Source organism: Homo sapiens, chromosome 8, assembly GCF_000001405.40.
Source record: "Homo sapiens chromosome 8, GRCh38.p14 Primary Assembly".
Taxonomy (NCBI): Eukaryota; Metazoa; Chordata; class Mammalia; order Primates; family Hominidae; genus Homo; species Homo sapiens.
The window spans coordinates 111,088,775-111,114,567 of NC_000008.11; the positions used below are offsets into that span (position 1 = coordinate 111,088,775).

Here is a 25,793-nt window from a genome sequence, read left to right on the forward strand (position 1 = left end):
AATGTTTTAGATGGGGTTGCTTTTGGGAATAGGTTTTCTATGTGCCTTTTTTGCTATTGTAGAGTTTGTTTAATTCATTAATACTTGAAAACTTGTTGGTATTTGCATGTGGGTGTATGTGTGAGTATGCAGATATCTGAAATCTGCTTATATAACATTGTATCCTGACATTATTCCTTTATAATTCTGCATATATCTGACATCTTTCAGAAAATTGCTGTCTTATCTAAACCAGGTTAACCATAACCCTATATTCCCCAAAACTTCTGCTTTACAGCTGTAGTAGAATTTATCACTTTATATGATAGTTGTTTCTTTACGTATTTTCTCCATTAAACTAAGTTCTTTGTAGGCAGAGATAATAATTACATTGGTTTTGTACATATAAAAATAGTGAGAAGATCCTTATTTCAGTGTTTGGGTATTTTAACTACTACAAAGGCACTAATTGTTCCTATTCATAATTAACTATATCACAGAACATTTTAATAGAATATGTTTAAAACTCACTGAAACACTATTTGAGGCAAGTACCCTAGGAAGCCAGCAGGAAGCATGCCCATCTGTGCCCTTGGAGACAGGCCTGCAGACTGCACACCCTAAAGAACCCTTGTAAGTTAGTCCCAGTACCTTTTAGCCACAGTCTTGGGCCAGTCTTGACCAACCACAGACCTACCAAAGGGCATAGTGAGAGCCTCACCTATCCATGCACCTGGTATTAGACCCCCCACCTGCTGAGCAACTGCAGACTTTGAAGCAGGCCCTTGTCCCAGTACTTGCCCTACTGAACAAGGTCTTGGAGGCAGCCAGCCTGTCAAGGTCCAGACAGGATCCACAGCTGCCCTAGTACCTGGTAACAGGTTTGCCAAACAAAGAACTAACTGCAGACCCACCAAAAGCCGCATCAACCAGCTTTGACCACACTTTATTATGATTACAGAGGCAATTGCATCATCCCAGGAACCTGAAAGGAGAAGGCATTTTCCTGCTGAAAGAAGTTTCTAAACACTGGAAGAGGTGTTTGCTCCTTCCAAGGCATAGACATCAATGTAAGGCTAGATGAATCATGATAAATCAGACAAACATGAAACTACTAAAGGAAACTAATAAAGCCCCAGTAGTAATCAACACCAAAGATATGGAGCTTTACAGATTGCCTGACAAATAATTCAAAATATTCGTCTTTAAGAAGTCCAATGTGATCCAAAAGAACATAGCTAGATGACTAAATAATGTTCAGGAAAACAATACATGAACAAAATTAGAAGTTTAATGAAAAAAATAGGAACCATGAAAAGGAACCACACAGAAATTCTGGAGCTGAAGCATACAATGGCATAACTGAAAAAAACAATCGATGCAGATCTTCAGCAGCAGAATCAATCATACAGAATAATCAGGAAACTGGAGGATAGATTAGGCCAGGAAGGGGTAGGATTATCTCAAGTGATAACAACAACAACAAAAAAAGCAAGCAAACAAACAAAAGCCTGTCAACCAACAAAACTATATCTAGCAAAGCTGTTCTCAGAAATGAAGGAGAAGTAAAGACATTTTTAGAGAAATAAAAGCCCCTTTTTTGGTGACTTCTAGGGAGTTCATCACCACTAGTCCTGCCTTACAAGAAATGCTAAAGAGAGTTCTTCAAATTGAAACTAAAGGACACTAAGTAACAACATGAAAACACATGAAAGTATAAAAGTCACTAGTAGAGGTAAACCTATAATCAATTTCAGAATATTCTCATATTGTAATAATGGTGCATAAGTTATGTTTACAGAATATAAACTTTCAGTTATATGGTTAATAAGTTCTGGAATTCTAGCATGTAGTATAGTCACTGTAGTTAATAATATTTACTTCAAATTTGTTAAGATCATTGATTTTTCCATGGCTAACATTGTTTTATTTATTTTATTTATTTTTTACTCATTTTTAACAAAATCCCATACATTTCATTAGCAAATTGTTCAGTATGTATCTCTAAAAGATAAAGACTCTTTAAAGAATTATAATATAGCACTCTTTAACCTATAAAACTATATAGTCAGTATTCACAATTTCTCTATTGTTGAAATGTGATTTTTAAAATAGATTATTCTTCACATAAGTGCCATACACTGTAATCGGCTAATATGTTTTTTACTCTCTAAATTTATAGGTGCTTCCTCAATTTATTATTGTTTTAAAATATCTACCTGCAGTTCGTTGAACACATCAATTTTTAATTGATACGTGCTATTTACATATTTACAATATTTTGTTACATGCATAGAATGTGTAATGATCAAGTCAGAATGTTTACTTCTCCTTGAGTAATTAGCATTTTTATGTGTTGGGAATATTTCAAGCCCTGTCTACTAACTATTTTGAAATATACAATACATTGTTTTTACTGATAGTCACCCTATTCTGCTAACAATGAAACTTATTTCTTCTATCTAACTGTACGTTTGTACCATTAACCAGACTCCAGAGAGTAGGTCTTAAGGGTTTACAATAGCAACAACATAGGACAACTATGTGAGATGATGGATGTGTTAATTAACTTGATTATGGTAATTATTTTACAATGTATATAAAACATCATGTTTTGCATTTCGAACATATACAATTTTTATTTGTCAATTGTACCTCAGTAAAGCTGGAAAAATACTCTGAGAAGTGTCCCATCTATTCTCTAATTATATAACATTGTCACTGACTTGATAGCCATGATAGATTTGCATGGTTGTACCTTCACTATTTAAAAACTGATATGCCTGGTGCGGTGACTCACACCTGTAATACCAGCACTTTGGGAGGCCAAGGCTGGTGGAACACCTGAGGTCGGGAGTTTGAGACCAGCCTGACCAACATGGAGAAACCTCGTCTCTACTAAAAATACAAAATTATCCAGACGTGGTGGCACACGCCTGTAGTCCCAGCTACTCGGGATGCTGAGGCAGGAGAATTGCTTGAACCTGGGAAGCAGAGGTTTGCGGTGAGCCAAGATCGCAGCAGTGTACTCCAGCCTGGGCAACAAGAGTGAAACTCCATCTCAAAAAAAAAAAAAAAACAGATAGCTAATGTAATAAATTGTTTAATATTTCAAAAGATTAAACATTTTCTTGGCAGAAACACATTGATGTTTAATTTTTACTTGTTTATTAATACAATATTTTTAAAGACCTTACATTATTTTATGCCATATATTTCTTTGTCATGGTTTTTAGTCTCATTTATATTTCTATAAAATGTAAACATTAGTCATATATATTTTACTTCCTTACAAGTGAGTTTTCCCTTTGAACACCATTTTTAATATCTCTAAAACTTATAAAAATTTCACATAGTTTTTTCTCATAGTTATGTTATTTATAGGTATGTGATTTGATAAAAAATACAGATCTTAGGTTGTCCCAATTCAAACAACTTGCCTGGATTTTACAACTATTTAATATACATGCATGTGCATGTCTCTGTGTGTGTGTGTGTGAGTGTGTGTGTGTATGTGTGTGTGTGTATCACCCCTTAGATCTTTTTACTCCTGGCTTGTTCTCACCTTTCTGGTTTCTACATACATGGCATAAATATACCCTTTACAAAGAGACTCTGTTTTCTTAGAGACACTCTAAGGGATTTGCCTTTGATTGTCTTCATCAAAGAACCCAATTTATTTCTTTCATGAAACTAATGATGATTTTTTATTTAAATAATGTATTTATTTAAATGCTTTAAGTAATTGTTTTCTTTTTTTCCTCACTATAGCATGTGCTTAACGGAGAACAAGGACACCGTCTGTCATGTTCTCTCTTGCACCCTATCAATTCGCACAGTATGCGGTACATCTGTACATTGGTACAATAAATATTGGGTGATGTATTGATTAATGAGAAGAAAAGTACCTGAAATATATTGAAATTAAGGCTCTGAGAATGGGGAAATTGTGCCCTTTTGCTTCCATATCCACAGTCAACCTGTCTGAAGTTTTAGATGGCGTTAGAAGAGTCGCTCCTGTAATATATGGGAAAAAAAAGTGTGTGCGTCTGTGTGTGTGTGTGTGTGCATGTAAAAGGAGAAAAGAAATAGAATAGGTATATTTAAATAATTATGAGATAGTCTAAATTGCCTTTCTAAACATTCCTAGTTCACCAAACATTACTTCTGGGGTTTCTGGAGGGAATGTGAGCCTCCCGAGCTGTAAGAGAATGAATAAACGAAGTTTTTGCCTTTGACCCCATAAATACAGACAAAAACAATACTTTCAGAGATACTATGCTTTCATGGATTCCAATGTAATGCTGTTTAAGGCCTGATATATCTTTGGTGCTCAAAACTTTTGGCAAATCTTTTCTAAATGGAGATGTATTATATGAAAATATCATTGGAAGAATCTCTTCTCCTGATGGATTTCTCTGAATTGTACTTCTTTTTTTCTTGTAAAACTCTCCCTCCTTTTGTAGGCAGGCTTTTTTTTTTCTTTTATTTTTGTAAGAATTCTGCACCATTTTGTACTCAAATATAAATTTTATTTTATTTTAAAGTTGATTTAAGTAACAACAAAAGTAAATAAGTAAATACAAAATTTAAAAACTTGATAACATAGAGCAGTTTCTTCATCCTATTCAGTTGACTTCTCAAAGAATGGAGAATAATTTTCTTAAGAACAAATTCATGTCTCAGTTCTTTCATTTGTGTCCATCCTTTAGTGCATCCTTTGTATCAATGCTATATGTTGTATTCTGTGGTGAAATAGACAAAGATAATTATTGACCTTTAACAAAAGTTAAGGCTGTAGTGAGGAATTTAACATTGTTTTGTGTGTGAGAGAATTAGAGACACCTGAAACTGACATATATAAAAAAGCACCATTTTAGAGTGCTTGAAAAAAAATAATTAGTAATTCTGATCTTGTCTTTATTAAAAATATTGGCATTTGGTTCATTGTTTTTAAACAATATCTTATAATGTTACTTATTCTGAATATTAGTTGTATGTGTGTCTATTTCCTTAAATATTGTGATGCTATCACCTCATTCATGTCACATTAGTCCAAGGAAGAAAGGAAATGAAGGAGGAAGGGAGAAAGGGAGAAAAGAGAAAGAAAAAAGTTCAGATGAAATAAATATATAAATAGTTGTTATAGTGGGTTCAATCATGGCCCCTAAAAGATACATCCAAATCATCCTATAATCTGTAAATATGACCTTATTTGGAAAAAGAATCTTTGAAGACATAATTAATTGAGGATAATGAAATGAGGTCATCATGGATTAGCTGCATCAGATCTAAATCCAATGACAAGTGTTGTTATACGAGACACGCAGAAAAGACACACACAAGGAGAGGAGGGGGAGGCTACATGAAGATGGAAGCAGAGTCTGCGACACTAGAAACTCTAAGAATTTAGATGCAGTGTGGAAACACTGTTCCCTCGGGCCTGTGAAGGGAATGTGAGACTCCAGAAATGTAAAAGAATACATTCCTTTTGTTTTTAAGCCACCAGGTTTTAGGTAATTTGTTAAAGTAGCTAGAGGAATCTAATACAGTAGTAAAGATGCATTAAGTACTATATGACATAGCATATAAGGCAATCAATTTTGCTGAAGAGTTGAGATATGCATAGTAGTTATGAAGAAAGAGGCCACCAAGATGGATCTTCAAGGATCATTTTAAGCAGCGATGTTGGCTTAGCTCACAATGTGGTAAAATTCTAAGGTTTGAGAACTGGTCAGATTTTGGATATATTTTGGGAATAGAGGTGTAAGTAGTAGATGGCAGACTAATGTGACATTTAATGTTGTCTTAGTCCATTTGTCTTGCTACAACAAAATACCTGAGACCAGGTAATTTATAAATACTATAAATTTATTTCTCACAGTTATGGAATATGGAAAGTGCATGATCAAGATGCCTACATTTAATCTGGTAAGGACCTTCTTGCTGTGTCCTCACATGGCAAAAGGCAGAAGCACAAGCTAGCCAAATAATGTGTGAAGTCCCTCTTTTAAGGGCCTTAGTTCCATTCACAAGGGAGGAATCCTCACAGCCCAATCACCTTTTAAAGGCCCTATGTCTTAACACTATCAAAATGACAGCATCTGAAATTTAAAGGGAACATATTCAAGCCACAGCAGAGGTGGAAAATTTAACAAGAATGATTACATCTACTTGAGTTTACACACTACAAAAAGAGTTGCAATTGCAGAGAAATAGAAACTTGTATTAGAAGTTCAGTTTTGGACACACTAAGTTTAAAAAGTTTAGTTGACACCTACATAATGTTGAAATAGGTAGCTGGGTATGAATCTAATAATCAGAGAGGAAAATTTGGTTATTAATGTCAGGTATTAATATTTTATGACTAAAATAAATCAATATTTATAGTTATAAAAATATTGAAATTACCAAGATGGCATAATGCATTAATAAATTGCATATTGTAGCAAACATTCATTGGTGCAAAAAGGTTAGATATGAACAAATTGTGTCAATATAAATAATGTTGACCCGATAATACTAGAACAACTCATTTTTTAAATTTCTATTAGTAATTACATTGAATTTCTCTTGTAAAATTTAATTTAAAAATAAATAACATAAAACTAGCATTTATTAATGTAGGCTAAAAAATATTTTATCTGTTTAAAAATAATTATTACACATAGAAATTAATATTGAAATTCTCATAATTATAAATTTTATAATTTTACTGCAGTCACATATTTACAATATTAATAACAGTTATATAACGAAACACATTAGACTCATAGATTGTGATGCAGACTCCTTATAGAGTTATAAATTCTGCCATGTCCTATTGTGGAAATCAGTAATTATGGTGCATGATTCCTAATGTGTTTATTTTACCATTTTGCCAAATAAATAAAAATTAAAATTGAATATTCATTTCAGGCATTTTTTCGACATAATGGAATTAGCTTTATGTTACGGCAATGTGTTATTTTATTGCAACTGTAACTTTTTAAGAAATGTTTTAAGTTTATGTACACATTAAGTCCGTACTTTGGTATGTTTTCTATTTTTAATTATAGTTATGTTTTAGTTATATTATTTAAATTGCATCAAAATTAATATTAAATCAAATTATGATAATAATACAAATTTTAAGAATTGTTGAATTTAACAAAATATGTGCAATTGTAAGGTTCTCACTATTAGAGCAATTTTTCAGAGTCAGGATGGATTCATAGCCAAAATTTGGTTTAGATATTGAGACTGATGCAACACACACACACACACACCAAGAGGAGTTAAAAAGTTTAATGACCAACATTTTGAAGCTTTGTGGAGAGAATAATGCAGGTTTCCCAAACTGGTACAAAAGTGCACCTTAGAGGAGAGACTAGGAAAAGATGATTGGATGATTGGGTTATGGTTTTTGTGGAGCTGTGTGAAGTTAGGTGCTTACGTGGTTAGACCTTCCCACCAGTGGCAAAGGAGTGAGCACCCAGGCTTTTGTATTAGCTTGCCTTTAGGTGGGGCAGAACCGGAAGAAGAGGTGAAACTTAAATGACGACAGGCAAATATGCCTAAAAACATAAAGTCAGAATCATTATTACATTTACTCTAAAGAAGAATGAGTACTAAAATTGATTTTAGAATGAGAATGTTTGTAGTTTTACCAGAAAATAAATAAGATTGTAAGACCAAAACTGTGGACTAATCTTCATCATTTCTTTGATAACTCTCACTAATGGTGCATGATTTCTTTAACGCAATTAATTATAAAATTGATAATTTTAAACACAGAGGGGTAGCATACATATTTCCAAGTAATAAAACACTATTCTGTATCTATATCTGTCTACATCTGCCTACAAATACATTTATCTAGATAGAAATTGAGATCTAGGATACAGATATAGATAACTCCCTTCCTTTTACTTTAGCTTTACAAAATCTTATTTTTAGCCTATTCTTTGTTATTTTGCATCTTTCCAAACATAAATTCTGTGTAGCTTACTGACATACACACACACACACACACATAAAGTACTTTTAATATTAATGCAATTCAATGGTAATTTATAGGTTAAATGTTGCCTCTCACTGAATTCTGCAAGTCTCAGGAACCTATGTAAAATACAACGTAGCTAAAAAAATCAATAGCATATTTAAACTCGTGATGGATAGGAATTTAGCTCTTGCTTTCATGTAACAGAGTGTTTTTCATCTGTCACCAAATCCTATGAAATTCATTAGATAATGGCACTATGTGTGTATATATATATTTGATATCTTTGGTTGGAAATTTCACACTGGAGAAAGTTTGACAATGGTAGAACATGTCTACAAAAACCAATTTGCTTACTGGTAATTGGGTACACTCCCCTTGCATTATTGAAGTTGTGTGCTTGAATAAAAGCCTTTTTTCCCCTACATTTAAGCCTTCTTTGATGATTTCTTGCTGAGAAAATGACACTAATGTCATTAATTTAGTGTTATGAGTAAAGCACTTGGCATTCAAATGCAGGTTGATAGAAGCATCTTTTTAAAAAATATTTTATTATATTTCATTATAGAATTATGAATCCTGTGTCCATCAAAATTGATTATGTGACAATGACATGCTAGGTGCAATATTGTTAACCATAATTTAAGAAAGGCAATGTTTAAAACTTTATCAGTTAACTTATCAATCACCTTTCTTCCAAGGTTATACTTAAAAGCTGATCATTAAGATGTAATACTAAAAGTATGTATGAGTTAAGTTAAAGCACATTACTAACATAAATTTCATGTATTTTACATTGCTTCTAAACCTTTTGAATTATTTGGAGTATCTTTTGTTTCTTTTCTCACTACGTAATGGTCCACGTTTGTGTCTAATAAGTGGCCTGCTTTATTTTCAAAACTTCTAATTTTATTTAGAATTAGGTATTTATAGGAGGCGGAAGCGGGTGGATCACCTGAGGTCAGGAGTTCGAGACCAGCCTGGTCAACATCATGACACCTTGTGTCTACCAAAAATACAAAAATTAGCCGGTGTGGTGGTGGGCACCTGTAGTCCCAGCTACTTGGGAGGCTCAGGCAAGAGAAATGCTTGAACCGAGGAGGCCGGGATTGCTTGAGCCAAGATCTCGCCGCTGTACTTCCAGCCTGGGCTACAGAGCAAGCTTCCATCTCAGGAAGAAAAAAAAGAGGTATTTAGGATGGTAATATCACCAGTGCTCTCTCCTCTTTAGTTATGAAGTATTTGGAACTTTTCAGAATTTCAGAGGTCTAGTACATCCTTTTATCTTTGGCATTTAAACCTACAGAGATTCAGTAATTGTTTACTTTATAGTACAGCGCTCCTAACATGAGCGTTTTGACCTAACAAAAGGGTATTTTTTTCTCCTATGCAACTTTGAAATGGGAAGAGATTGGAGTATGCTTGCTTAGTGTGATTTAAAGGGTTCTGAAAGTTTCCATTTACCAATAATACCATCTCCCCTCTAGCCTGGGGAGTATACTTGAGAATAGAAAACTCTCAAAATGGACAAAAAAACTAAAGAGTAACTTATTATTATATATTATCATGTATATATACCTAAGAGTATTAATTAGTGAAATAGATAATCAGAGTATATTAATATGTTAATAGTTTACTAGATCTTCAAACATATTTTAAATAAATTAACATGTAAGTAATTGTCAATTACTTTCCTAACTGTTCTTTTCTCATAACAGGAAATCATTCAGAAAGCTGTGCTTTTATATTAATTGTAATCAACATTTTGCACTTATCTAGATGCTGTTTTATTTATTTCCGCAATATCTTCAAAAATAAGAAAATACTTGATCTTCTTCATAGAGCTCCACAATTTCCTGGAATGCTTCAAAAGAATTTTGAAAATAAAAATATTTAGCTATATAAAATGTGCAGCACTTAATAGATTATCAGTATGCATGCAAATATATAGGCACTCATAAAACAAATTATATCAGTATATGAAAAATAAAAGATTTACTAATACCTGCAATGTAGGAAAAGGAAAAGCAAACTCCCCTTTGAAAATAGCCTTATTTAAATTGCAGCTCTTTGCTTGGACATATGCTACAAATTACTTTAAATAATTATGTTGGTACAGGCCATTGCCTACAAGACAAGTAAAATTTTCTTGTTATTGAAATGAGTAAGGTGAAGATCAAGAAAAACTACTTGTGCATTAAGGATGGAAGAAGCAGAACTGGCCTTTGACTCCGGTCCCCATGCAATTTCTTGATAGAATATTGTGATGTAAGATCTGAAGTTTGGAATGGTTGAAAGAAAAAGAGTCTTAAAATGGAGAAATAAACACCGGCAAGGTCATGCAGGATCTTTGATGTACACACATTTTGAAACACTGCATTCTTCATAATTCACAAAATGAATGCCTGGTATAACAAATAAATATACTTGATAAGTAGATTAGAGGAAGTAGAAGCCAATTGATGGTTTTAGCAGTGGAGTAACATAATCATATTTGCTAAGTAAAATGCTAACTTTGGAAAATGAACAAGACAAGACTATTCAATATTTAGTTTGAGAAGAGATTATTCTAATTTAAATCAGACCTGATAAATGTCTATTTAGAAATGTAGATAGGAATTTCACTGATGCAATTCATATCTATTTTTATGGTCTTACTTTACATCATTTAGCAATTTTCAGCAGCAATTTCCAGTTTTTATCTTTCTTCTCTAATTTACTAAAGCTCAGGTTCCTTCTATGTCTGTGCTGCATTCACATGCTCTGAGTATGCAATCTATCTCCCAAAACTCTACACTTCCTTAAAGTCCTCAACAGGATACAAACTTGCTTGGTTATCTTAGTCATGCAAATGAGTACTGAAGCATTAGCTGTATCCAGAAATATTACAATATAAATTAGTAACATCATATGACATCTAGAAGGCTCACAAAAGATTAATCAGATTAATCGAGTCTTTTAAACTGCAGGTAAGGTATCATAAAATGACCCCAAGAAATAGATGATAATTGGAAATCAAAGGAGATACAATACATGATCTGGGACCAAAGGCCTGGAAGAATGAGTGGCCCCCATTGCCGCTTCAATTGGAGAACTTTGTGGATGATTTTTACAGAACACTTTTCTTAAGTGTTTTTTTAGGGGGTTCAGAAAAAATGTCTTAAATAGTTATATTTAATAGCGATGGATATGTGTTCAGCTTTTCTGGAAATACATTACAATATAGAGAAAATCTACTTCTGATGAAGTTTTCCAATGGAATCTAAAATTGTAAAATAAATACAGTAATATTTTATTATTTTTAGTTTTTAGACTTTTATTTTATTATCTATAAATAATGTATCTTGTATTCTAACATACTTGAGTTCATTTTATGAGAAAATATATGAAAATAATGTTTTATTCCCTTGACATGTCTGAATGGGCTAAAAGAAAGCAAAGGGTATCTTTAGTAAGATGGGTAACTGGATTTTCCTAAGCCTGAAAAGAGTACTAATTTAGTATTAACCATACAGCTCTTTCCCCTTGGCATCATTCTTCCTAGTCCTTCTTTCTTGTTTTAATAAACATGTTTTAAATTAAAAGTCTTCTATTTCAAAATGTCACTCCTATAAGTATGTCAAGTACATTTAAGCAATACAAAAATAGTCAATAAGAAAATGCAAATCAAAATGACAGCAATACATCATAATCACTAGGCAGTGTGGGTGGCAAGCCACCCAGGTGCCAAGGTAAGAGACCGAGGGCACAAGCTGTTCCGGTATAATAAAATATACAGAATAAGAATAGTTATACTAGAAATATAATATAGATAAGTTTATATATGAATATTATTAATCATTAGTTTGTAGCATTACTGTTTATTCTAATATTATAATAATCTCTGTTCTACAATTATAACCTAGGAAGAACCAGGCCATACAGAGATAGGAGCTGAAGGGACACCGTGAGTAGTGACCAGAAGGCAAGAGTGTGAGCCCTCTGTCACGCCTGGAAAGGGCCACTAGAGGGCTCCTTGGTCCAGCGGTAGCGCCAGTGCCTGGGAAGGCACCCGTTACTTAGCAGACCGGGAAAGGGAGTCTCCTTTTCCCCCCTGGGAGTTAGAGAAGACTCTGCTCCACCACCTCTTGTGGAAGGCCTGATATCAGTCAAGAACACCCGCAGCCATCCGGAGACCTAAACCTCTCCCTGTGATGCTGTGCTTCAGCGGTCATGCTCCTGGTCCATTTTCATGCTCCACCCTGTACACCTGGCTCTGCCTTCTAGATAGCAGTAGCAGAATTAGTGAGAATATTAAAGTCTTTGATCTTTCTGAGAAGAGCATAGAAGAAATAATGATGTAAGCTGTCCTCTCTCCTCTCTCCGCCTCCACTACCTAACAGGGAAAGGCTCCCTCTCCGGTGGACACGTGACTCGCGTGACCTTATCAATCATTGGAGATGACTCACACTCCTTACCCTGCCCCTTTTGCCTTGTATACAATAAATAGCGCGGTCAGGCATTCGGGGCCACTACCCGTCTCAGCGTCTTGGTGGTAGTTGTCCCCAGGGCCCAGCTATCTTTTCTTCTATCTCTTTGTCTTGTGCCTTTATTTCTAGGATCTCTCATCTCCGCACACGAGAAGAAAAAACCCACGGAACCAGTAGGGCTGGACCCTACACGGATGTGTATAATTAAAAAGAAGAGACAAGCTCTGGAGACAATGTGGAGTAATTGGAACCCTCAAGTGCTGATGGTAGGATTATAAAATGTTCCAGCCATTTGGGAAAAGAATTTGCCAGTTATCAACATGTTAAACACAGAATCTCTTCCTAGGTATATATTCAAGAGAAAGAAAAGCATATATGCACCAAAAAATTAAAAAAAAAAACACTTTTACATGGATGCTTATATATGATTCATAGTAGCCAAAAATAGAAGCCACCCGAATATCCATCAACTGATAAATGGATTTGCCAAATGTCATATATTCATAAATGGAATATTATTCCAAAAGAAGAACAGAGTATTAATACAAGATGCATCATGGATGAACCCTGAAAACATTATGCTAAATAAAAGAAGCCAGTCATAAAAGATTGTATTATGATTCGATTTACATAAAATCTCCAGAATAAGCAAATCTATATATGTAGAGAGAAAGCAGATTAATGATTGCCTATGATTTCAGGCAATTGATTAGTCAATTGATTACTATAGGCAATGGTTGTCTATGACCATACAAGTAGTTGCATGTGGTAAGGAAAGGTCAATGATAAAGAGTTACTGCTAATGAATATGTAGTTTTTTGTTTTTGTTTTTTGAGTGTTGAAAATGTTCTAGAATTAGAATGTGGGGATGATATTACAACTCTGTGAAAATATTTTTAAAAACATTGACATGTACACTTTAAATAGATAAATTATATGCTATATGAATTCTTTATCAATAAATAGGTTTAAAAAGTTCCTAATGGGAAAATATAATATTCATTCAAATATTTATAGCCACATGCAAAATACATTACCTGGATTTACTTTTAAAAGTCTTCAATTACAATTTATTTCCTTAATAATTTAGCGTATTTCCTTCTTTCATTTTGTTTACCCTTTATAAACTCTAAGTTTTTCTTTCTTAGATTGTTTTGGCTAAAGATTGTTCTATTATTTAATATTTCATTTTTATACTTCAAATTTTGGACCAGAATTTTTTTTTCTCTTAAGTTTGTCTTTCATTATTTGTTTTTCACTTCTTCTCTCTGATTCTTTTTCCACTGTTTCTTCTTTCTTGCCTTTCTGTGAGTTACTTAATAGGTTTTTTTTGGGTTTCTCATTATATTTCTTTGTGTATTTTCTTTTTACTGGTTGCCCTGTGTATGATTTACATATATGATTAATTACAGTTTGATGGTTTCAAAATTTTACCACTTTCAATAAAGTGTCACTTCCATTTAAGTTCAATTACTGACCCCACTTTTAAATATCATTGTTATGGGTATCATCCAATGTTATAATTTAATTATTATTATCAAATACAATTTATAAAACTCATGAGAAGAGGCTACTAATTTTATGCAGACATATTTCTGCTCTGTTGCTCTTTTTTTCTTCCAGATGCTTCAAAATTATTTCTATTATTATTGCATTTCTATTTTGAAAACTTTCTTTTAGGTATATGCTAGTGACAAAACAATCTAATTTTCCTTTGTCTGAGAATGTTTTTATTTACTTTTTATTTCTGAAAGATAGTTTTGATCGTTACAGAATTCACAGTTGAAAAGTTATTTTAAAGCTTGAAAAATGTTGTACTGCTTTCTTCTGGCCTCTATGGCTTCAGATGAAGAAACTACTCTTACTAGAATTGGTACTGTCTTATAGGTAATACATCATTTCTCTCTCACAGCATTCAGATTTTTTCTTTCCTTTTTTGTCTTAAAAATTGTATTAAAAATACAATTAAACATCTCTTGGCATTATTTGAGGGTTAACTGTGTGGGGTATGTTCAGATTTTTAACTCTGTAGGTTTGTATTTTTCATCAAATTAGAAAATGCTTAACCAGACCAGGCGCAATGGCTCAAGCCTGTAATCCCAGCAATTTGGGAGGCTGAGGCGGGTGAATCGCTTGAGCTCAAGAGTTCAAGACCAGCCTGGCCAACATGGCAAAACCCCGTCTCTCCAAAAAACAAAGACAAAAATTTAGCTGAGAATGGTGGCGTGTGCCTGTAGGCCCAACTACTCGGGAGGCTGAGGCAGGAGAATAGCTTGAAACCTGGAGGCAAAGGTTGCAGTGAGCTGCGATCCCGCCACTGCACTCCAGCCTGGGCAGCAGAGCGAGACTCCATCTTAAAAAAAAAAAGAAAAGAAAATGTTTAACCATTACAGTATTCCTGTTAATACACGTTTAGCCCTACTAACTTTCTCTCTTCTGAAACTTAAATAATATAGATGTTGAATCTTTGGTTGTTATTTATCACATGTCCCTGTCTTTTTTTAATTTTTTTTATTTTTTCCAGTCTGTTTTTTGCTTGGTCAGATGGATGGATGCTGTTGACCTGTCCTCAAGTTCCCTGATTCTATTCTCTGTCAACTCTACTCTACTCTTGAGTTCATCTAGAAAATTGTTTTGTCTGGCATTTAATTTTTAGTTTTACAATTTTTATTTATTTTTATAACTTCAAAATATTTACTCAGAATTTCTGATTTTTTTGTTTCGAGAAAATCAATGACCAAAATTGATTGTTGAAGCATTTTTATAACAACTGCTTTAAAATCCTTTTCAGAAAAATTCAACAACTGTTTAATTTCTGTGTTCATGTCAGTTAATTGTCCTTTCTTAATTCAGTTGAGATTTTCTTGGTTCTTGGTGTGATGAAGAATTTTCAAGTATATCCTGGTCATTTACATATTATATTAGGAAGCGTTTGGCACTATATAAATCTTTTATTATATTAGACAGGTATCCTATTTAGGTTAGCATGCATGTTTGGCCTGCTTATTTGAACTGTTTTCAATGACAATTTAAAGTTCCAAACATTTGCAATGCTATTTTTGTCTGCTTGGTTTAAGTGGTTCTGACTGTGGCTCTCACTACTTAGTCCCAATTGGTCCTATTTGTCCTTAGGGGTCAGACTGGGTTATGCCACAGGGTATCTCTCAATGGGCAAGGGAATCTCAGAGCTATAAGGATGAAGAGGCTTCCAAGGCTGAACATGTGCTGGCTGTATCTGCTTCGGCTGTGTTGGACAGAGACTGCTTGCTGAGATGGGTACTTTTTTGGCAGCCCCCCTCACCACTACTGCCTGGAGTCTATCGATTTCAAAATTTTATTTAATTGCCTAGTATTTCAGTTAATCATATAAAGTAACAATTTTCATGACATATTAGCGATTATCTATGGGAACGTTTTATTTTGTCTAGATTTTTAATTGGGGTCTTTAATTCAAAAGTTTCGACACTGCTATATCAATTAATTTGCCTACAATTTAAAATATTTAAACTGCTCTCAAGAAAAAACTCTCAAATCCTAGAGCTAATTAATGGTCTTTCAGTTATACAGCTATTAAAGATGAAGTTTTTTTTTTTCTATGAACCTGACTTGTGATTGGACACACTGATAGCATAAGCTTCACGTGGAAAAACAAGGTAGACACAATAGCCTGGTAGGACCACATATCCATTTATATCCAAGTATTGTACATAATGCAGTCTGGAGGGGAAGAGTCATTTTGTTTGGCTCAGGAAAACGTGGGCCTGAATATTGACTGTCCAATCTTCTAATTATATAAACTTCATTAATTTATGGAATCTCTTAAAGTATCCAATATGCAACAGAAGTTGTAGAATAATTTAATTATGAAAAATGAATACAACTGAATGGGGTATTTATCAACAGTTTTTGTTTATTAGTTTGAGGGCACAACTCAACTTCCAAAACTAAGATAAACCAGTGGCAGGAAAATCATAGCACTACTTGTTAAAGGCAATAAAATCAGAATTCAGGGCTTGGAAGGAAGCATGAAAGGTTCTATGCAAGAACCACAGAAACTGTGAGAACCCAATCAGTGGACAGTCTCCCCAAAATATGAGACTCAAAGCTAAATTATGCATGCAAAAAGGAGATCTCTGTCTTTCTTCTTAGTTTAAAAAATAATAAAAGCAAGTAGATACCAAAAGAGAGTTCACTCATGAAAGTGAGAGCTTCAGGGAGCTTGTCTGTCAGTTTGTTGCTTCATTTAACTGACTGCATTCTCAACCAGTCACAGCTCAGGTAGCAAAAATGTGATGCTGAGTAGCTTTGAAATGTCAAAGTACAGATTATAAGGGAATGAATGAGATACTCTGAAAGTAAAGGAACAACCTCAGAAAATTGGAAACCAAAAGAAGGCTTACTCTCCATCTCTGCTTAGATATTTAACTGAGCACCAATTATTTGAAGCCCAAGGGAAACATATAAGGACCAAGCTAAAAAATTCCACTATTAGAGGTCATCATACTAGAGTAGAGATAATTAGCTGCTACACACCACAGGGAGACACAATTTCAAACTGAAGCCATGCAAGTTATTAATCTACTAGAATTAAAAATTAATTAACAGAAAAATATGACAGAATATAAGGTTGCTACAACATATTGTAGAAAATACTGTTTTCAACTAAATATTGCTAAAGACTCAATGACACAGGAAAGTGAGATGCAAAGTCAGAAGAATCTGTCAACAGAATTGACTCACAGTGGGTTAAATGTTGGATTAAGCAGATGATGGATTCAAATCAGATAGCATAAATATTCTCAAGTGTTAAAAGAAAATATTTTCAAATAATTGAGGGATAATATACTATTGGTGAAGAAGCTCAACAGAAATTTAAAAAAGAAAATCCTCGAAATTAAAATGTATTAACTAAAATAAAAATCAGATAAGTTTCAGCATTGCATTAGAATTATCAAAAAAAACTAGTGAACTTGAAGATATATAGAAATTTTAAAATCTGAAGAATTGAAAGAAAAATAGTAATACTATGGAAAGTGAGTTAGTTAATATTAATAATTCCTTTTATTATCTGAAAAGTTTTGTATAGAAATATTATTTCTTCTTTAAATATTTGTAAGATTTTACAAGTGAAGCCATTTGGGCATGATGATTTAAGGGTCTGCTTGTGGATGTGCATCTGTGTGCACATACATTTATGTGAAGATGTTTTAATTAAATTTTTCAGTTTTCTTACTATTTACAAAGCTATTCCTTTTGTATTTTTTCTTGACTAACTTTGGTAGTTTGTGTCTTTCAAGGAATTCATTTATTTTTCCTCAGTAAACTTATTGGCATGAAGTCATATATAATATTCCTTCATAATCCTCTTGATATCTAGATAATCTAGAGTGGTGTTCTGTTTTTCATTCTTAATATTGGTAGTTTCTCTCTCTCTATCTCTGTCTCTCCCATCCATCTCTTATTAGCATTGCTAAAGTTTTATCAATTTTATTTTTATGTTCAAAGCAGCAATATTTGATTTAATGGATGTTTTATTTATTATTTTATGCTTTTAATTTCATTGATTTCTTCTCTTATTTTTATTATTTTCTTCCTTGTTTGTTTTGGGTTTACTTTATTGTTTGTTTTTTGTATAAGAAATATTAGGATTTTGATTTGAGATTATTCTTCTTTTCCAATATAAGCATTTAATTATATAAATATTTATATATGAATATATCTAATTTCATAAATTTTTATTTTTTGTTATCTAAGCTAGATAAATTGATATATAATTAATATATACAATATTGCATATTTTATGTATATATTGATAAATTTGGATATATGCATACACCATGATAACATTACTATAATAAAGATATCAAAGAACTAAACATATATACCACCTCTAAAAATTTCCTTGTGTGCGTGTGTATGTGTTTTGTGGCATGAACCCTTAAAATAGACCTATCCCCTTAACATTTTAAAGTGCAAAATAGTGTATTTAGTATAGGTACTATGCTGTACAGCAGATTTGTAGAACTTATATTTCTTGCATAATGAAACTTAATACCCAGTAACAATTTCCCATTTTCCTTGTCCTTGGCTCCTGGCCACCATCATCCTATTCCCTGCTCTGGGAATTTGACTATTTTAGACATCTTATATAAACAGAATTATGTGGTCTTTGTTTTTTTGTAACTGGTCTATTTCACTTAGCATAATGTCCTGCCAGTTCATTCATGTTGTAACAAAAGGCAGTATTTCCTTTTTTTAATTTTCTTTTTATTTATTTATTTATTTATTTATTTTTGAGATGAACTCTCGCTCTGTCGTCCAGGCCGGAATGCAGTGGCGTGATCTCGGCTCACTAGGAGCTCTGCCTCCTGGGTTCAAGCCATTCTCCTGCCTCAGCCTCCCGACTAGCTGGGACTACAATATTTCCTTTTCTTTTAAAGGCTGAATAATATTCCATTGTATGTATATGCTATATTTGTTATCATTATTATTATTTCAACACAGTCTTGCTGTGAGACTGGAATAGAGTGACACGATCATAATTTACTGCAGTCTCAACTTTCCAGGCTCAAGCAATCCTTCTGCCTCAGACTTCCAAGTAGCTGGGACTACAGGCATGCACCACCATACACAGCTAATATATATATATATATTTATTTTTTGTAGAGATGGAGTCTCACTCTGTTGCCCAGGCTGGTTTCAAACTCCTGGGCTCAAGTAATCATCCCACTTCGAGCTCCCGAAGTGCTAGGATTACAGGCATGAACCACTATTCCCGGCAGTATATACAATATTTTTTAATCCATTCATCTGTTGATAAACATTTGGATTGTTTTTGTATCTTGACTACTGTGAATAATGCTGCAATTAATAAGTGCAGGTATCTCTTCAAAATCTTGATTTCAGTTTTTTGGAATACATACCAGGAAGTAATATATGGTACACACAAAAGGAGATATTGTTACGTATTATAAGAAATACATAATATATAATATAATATATATTAAACCTATATATAACATATATTTTATATATAGTATATATACCTAGATACATATATATACATATATACACACTCATACATATATATATGTGTATATATATAGAGAGAGAGACACAGAGATAAGAATTGTTGATGAGGATGTAAGGAAATTGGAATCACTATATATTGTTGATGAGGATAAAGTATGGTGCAGCCACTATGGAAAATGGTATGAAGTTTAACAAAAACACTAAACATAGAATGACATATGCTCTATATATGCATTTTAAAATTATTGAACAATTTAAGATTTTTAAGTTAATTTGAATATTTTAATACATAGTACATTTTAGAGGAACATAGTGTAACATTCTAAGATAAAATATTTTATATTTTGATTAGGATGACTTTGTCAAAGATTATTAAACTCTGTACACTAGATATGTGCATTTTACTGTATGGAAGTGTTATATTGACTAGAAAAATGTTAATGTATGGAATTGGTAGAAAAAATTCCAAGAAAGGAAGGAAGCTGTCAGTAGCTTAAAGAGTGAGAGAAAAGTGTTTGTGCAGAACCCTTAAAAAGACCAGCATTTAAGTGACAGGACAAAGTTTAATAGCCCACAAAGGAGATGTTGCAAAATTACTACGCACAAAGGTGTGAAAACAAGGAGCATGTTGAGTCAGGGAATTCAGGGAGTAGAGCTGCACGAATAAATGAGTAACATTTTGTAATTTGGCAGTGATGTACATTTAAAAACCAAAGCTATACTTGCTGATTTTATATGGCACCATTGAAGTTGCAGCTGCTATTAATGAGAATTGTTCCAGAGACACAACAGAGATACATACAAAAACTGGAAGTGAGGCAGTAGAGAGTGCATTTAGGGTGTGTTCTTTAGGGGTAAAGTGGGGAGTGATGATACTTAGTAAAGTATCAAGAGATAAAGGAGTGATGATACTTGAATATGTGCATTAGTCAAGGATATAGAGAGAATGAGAAAAACAATGTAAAGAAACTGGGTAAATGACTGAGGAACAAAGTCCAGAAAGAGGAGGTGGAAATGTTATTCAGGGTATAGGTAAATGACTTCCATCATGTAAAACTGAAGGACATCTGCTTAAAATTGGAATCAACATTCTAGTGAAGCAGAAAGTAGGTTTTTGAAATGTAACGAAGGTAGTTAGCTAGACACAAGTTAATGAAAGAGACAACTAACTGTGTTTGATGGGCTGTATTAATGGTCGGAAAAAAACTTGAACCGAAGCAGCTTTCTTATGATAAAATTTTGTTTCCTCAAAGAGAATGAAAATTATATTTATAATAATCACTTATAAACTGCCTGGTGTGTGTCATACACTGTTCAAAGCTCATTACATGGATAAACAAATTGAATTCGCAAAAAATTGTAATGTGGATAGTATTAGACTAATTTTGTAGGCGGCAAAATTAAGTTGTGGTACAAAAAGACAAAGTAACTTGCCTAAGGTATCATTGTTGATAAGTGCCGAGGTTAGGATTTGAATCTAGGCATACTTGACTTCAGAGTTTCTATATAACTAGGAAATTATACTGCTACTCTTTGGATCAAATAATAATGATAATAATATTTTTAATATTGTTGATTAAACTGGAAAAAAGCCATACATTTAAAGATATAAGGTTTGAAATTCAGACTGCTGCTAATAGTATGCTGATAATTTTGTTGTTTGACTTCACACCTAAGACTATTTTCTGGTAACCCACAAAGTTTATTTGTTGAATAATGACTGAAAAGATATTGAGATTTATTTAGAATTATATATCTGAAGAATGTGTTACAGGAATGCTAAAATTGTATTCTTCTCTGGATATAGTGTGACAATTTTTATTAAAAATAATAATAATAATTTTGGAAAATTGGTTTTCATTGATTTGGTTATTAGAGAGACAGCTAAAATATAAAAATATTATATGCCTTTTAGGAATTATATTTTATCAAGCTAATTATAAATTCAGGAAAAGCAATGGTTGAGTTTTCTTTGAGATTAATCTTCATAATTCTAAATATCTAAAATAAAAACATATTGGTTGTTTTGTGTATATTTTATATCTATTTCTTACATTTATTTCAAAGATTTCTTTCTATTTTCTACCACCAAAATAACATCCCTAGAGACTTGTATTTGTCAATCCCTGCAGGACCTATTGAACAAATCTGCCTTATAATAGATTGCTTCCCACAGAGCATGAACTTGAGGAAACAAAAAGTAATAAAAATGTATTTTAAAGTTGTCCCAAAAGTGAACATCTAAGTAAGAAAAGCTCATCTCTACCCATCCAGCCAAATTTGTCACATGACATAATAAATGGCATGATAAATTGCCAAAGTAACAACTTGCTATTTTATTTAAAGAACAGTAAGAGACCACCACATCAGCTTTCTTTGCTTAACATTAGGGGAATGCAGAGGATGTGTTGATTAAAACTATTTTTACTCTCTGGATTCCTTCTTTATGTCTAAATGTGCTGCATAATATACTGATCAACACAAGCAAGTGAGCTCACCACTTCTTCTCTAAAGGCTTCTATTTTACATTTGAACTTCTTATGTATACCATTTTTCATTGTGATGTTCAACTTTTATCCCCTGTGCTCCAAATGCAGGGAAATGAGTTGATTATAAGTTACAGAAGCTCAGAATCACTTTTTTCCTCTGTATGACTGGAGTCTGGAAATTCCAGATTATCCAAGAGAAACAAAAGGCTATGGTTTGAGTATTTGTCCTCTTCAAAACTCATGCTGAAATTTAATTTTCAATGTGGCAATATTGAAGGGTTAGGGTCTTTAAGAGGTGATTAGGTCACAAGCATTCTGTCTGCATGGATGGATTAATCCATTCATGGATTTGTGGGTTAATGGGTTAATGGATTAATAAGCTGACATGAGAGTGGGATGTGGCTTTCTTTATAAGAAGAGGTGTAGATACCTGAGCTAGCACACTCATCCTCCTCGCCATGTGATGCTCTGCACTGCTTTGGGACTCTGCAGAGTCTTACTAGAAAAAAGTCCCTCAGCAGGTATGGCTCTTTGACCTTAGACTTCTCAGCCTCCATGACTATACGAAATAAATTCATGTAAAAAAATTACTCAGTTTCAGATATATTCTATAAGCAGCAGAAAACAAAGACACACTTTCCTAGCTGGTTGGTCTTTTTGATACCTGCACCATGAATACATGAAAGTCTCAGGAGCTCCACATTCTTCTACATATTTATGCTGCTATTTTTTTTTAATTTCAGCCATTATAGTCTTTTAAGTATGATCTTTTAAATTTCAGCCATTTTCCCTAAAATTGATATGGCTGAGCACTTTTTCAAGGCCTTATTGAACAATCATATTTATTTTCTGGTGAATTCTGGGTCCTATATCTTTCCTCACTGTCACTGTTTTTTCGTTAATTTCTTTTTGTTATTGATTTCATGTAAATAAAATATACTCTAATTTTCAATATTTTATCAGATAATATGCATTGAAAATATTTTCTCTGTGTCTGTGAATTATCAGTTTTCTTGAGTTTCTTTTAATTTAAGACAAAAATTGTTGATTTTAATGATGTCTAATTTTCTGATATTTTTAAATTTTATTTTCACTGTGTTTACTATTTACAATATTATTCTACCTCATGGTTATAAATATTTTCTCTTTATTGAAAGACTATATAAATATAGATACATGTCACTTTAATATTTGTGCATAATGTGAGGTAGTGATTAGTATTGTTTTTTCTAGTGTGTCTACAGTTTCGTCAGCCCTAATTTTTTTAAAGTACATATTAATCATTGCTTCATTCAACTTCAGCAAAATTAATTAACTGAATTATATGTGGGTATATTTCTTGATTATCTATTATTATCTTTTTGAATATCCACATGCCAATACTTTACTACATTATTTTGATTATTGTGGTTTATACTAAGTCTTGTAACTAGGAACTTTGAGATATTCAATTTTATTCTTCTTTTTCTATTTGTTCTGACTATTCCAAGTCCTTTTCAATTAAAGGTAAATTATAGAATCTATGTTAGTGCCTTTTTAATAGCTGGCGTAGAAAATCTTATTGGTATCTTGTTGAACCTACAGGTCGATTTATAGAGAATTGATAACAATATTGCATTTTAGCAACAATGAGTATGATCTATCTCTCCACTTGTTTACATCTTCCTTGCTCCACTCAGCAATGTTTACGATTTCTCAGTCCCATAGAATTCCCATCTGTGTTTCTCTGCTACTCACTACCAAGGTATCATCCGCTTTCCTGACTTCTAACACTGTAGCCTGATTGTGAAATTTATAAAAGTGGAGTCATACAACAGGTACTCTCTTGGACCTGGAACCTTGAACAATATGATTACAAGAATTATCCATTCTTATTGTTGTACTACGCTTCGTGGTATAAATATACCACGATTTATGTATTTATTCTACTGCTTTTGTACATCTGTGCAAAATTTATTGATAGCACAGTAGAGACACATTTAAAAGTTTAAAAAGTAGGATGTTAAAGAGTTTCCTGAAATTATGACACCTGATCTGAGATTTATGTTGTTTAATTTGGAGATAATTAGCTGAGCTATATAATAATTAGGTAAGTGCAGGGTGATAATCAAGGTGAGAAAGAGGGTAGCTTAAACAAAAGCGCGCTATATTAAAATGGCACTAAAGTATAAAAAATCTTTATACCTTAAGGTATATCAGAGGTCAGGGAAGCAGTCAGAGAGCCATGATGTAGCTGATTGCTTGATGTCTTTAAATTTCATGTTATAAGGTATGGATTTTTTTCTTATAGGCAATAGAAAATTATTAAATAATCATTGAAATAAATGTATGGATGCAATCCATGCATTAGAAGGATGTTCAGTGAGAAAATATCTGTATTTCTCTTTTCTCCTATTTTCTGAACTCCTGTGAATGCTTTGGATAGATACCACTTTAAAGACATACAGGGAAACACACACACACACACACACACACACACACACACACACACACACACAAACCTGTGTGATTCTGTCCACAGAACTAGTATCCTGGGCTATGAGGCAGGTCACAGATGGTGCTGAGAAGAGATTGGGGGACAACTGAAGAATAGCCTATATGATCATCAGCTCAAGCCCACTCCCTGTGAGGAGCTGGGGAACCGAAGGAAGCTTTGCTCATCAAATGTTTATCTGCCTGATGCATCATTAATAAACTATATACTTACAGTTTACCATAAGAAAACAAAACTTCTATAGGACTTTGCCAAGTCTCAATGTAGTCCTCTCTGTAGCCTTCAATATAGGGTTTAGGCACCTTGTTTAAATGGAAGAAAGATAAAAATGAACATAATATTTCCCATGATTTAGTGCAGACGATCATTAGTATATGACATAATGTTGCTCAGAGACTGAGGACCTAGTTGAGACTATCCTAGTAGTGAGACCAGGAATGTTTGTTGGATGACCCAGAGAAGCTACCTTTTTGATCAACAGAATTATCTTGCATTAGAGACACTGGAGAGAGAATTAGAAGAACAAGAAATAGCTCAAAAAGCTATGCCAGGAAACCCCCACATGTTCTGGGACAAATACAGGCAATTTGTAATACACAGGTAAACATTAAAGAAATTCATTATTCAAGCTTTCAGGGAAACAGCAAGTGCCATTCATGAAGTAAACCCTAACACTTCCCAGAAAGAAGTCTTGGTGGATAAATGGAAATTAAAATCTGGTTGTGAAAGGAATTTAAGGGTTATTAAAATCCTGCTTGTGTCTTCCCATCTGGAATGGAAGCTGCTGCTTCTTTTTGTCTTCTGATGTGGGGGTTCAATGGCCTCTGCCACTCTATCTTTCCTCTTTTCCTCTGCAAGCAAAATTCCTTTACTACTGTAGCCTCTGATGTTGCCATTACTATCACTGTCACCACAGGTGATTAGTCCTTAACTGTCAGTGCCAAGTATACCTGAACTTCTCTACCACACAGGCCCAGTATCCCCTCAACTGTGAAAGAACAATGAGTTAGCAGCCAACCCGCCTGGCAGTAGCTAACAGAGCGCCCAGGCTCTTATGTCAACCTGCCAGGACCAGAGAACTTGAAAAATCAGTTCCACAGAACACTCTAGCCCCAGCTCAGCCTGTCCTGCTTGCTACTGTCCTGACATATTTGCTGTTCCGCTCAAAAGGATTAACCTTCCTGTGGTGGCTGTGTGTGCCTAGTGACTCATTATTAAAGGGTCCTGATAGAAATCGCAGGGAGAAGAATGGTATTCTGCGAGAAGACAGCAAGTGCAACAACAGTAACAACAAAAAACTCCTTTTTGTTTACAATGCCTTCAGTCATAATCAGTCAGAATTCTAGCGA

At 33.4% G+C, this 25,793-nt stretch overlaps 1 long non-coding RNA gene across 1 annotated transcript in view; it reads right to left on the minus strand.

Annotated features, from left to right (window-relative positions):
• Positions 1-10,186: 10,186 nt before the first annotated feature.
• Positions 10,187-25,793, minus strand: part of LINC01609 (long intergenic non-protein coding RNA 1609) — a 137,243-nt gene continuing 121,636 nt past the window's right edge. Inside the window, exons 3-4 of the long non-coding RNA NR_125418.1 lie at positions 24,658-24,746; positions 10,187-10,365 (exon numbers count right to left, since the gene is read on the minus strand). This is a non-coding gene — a long non-coding RNA (long intergenic non-protein coding RNA 1609). The remainder of the gene's footprint in view (positions 10,366-24,657; positions 24,747-25,793) is intronic.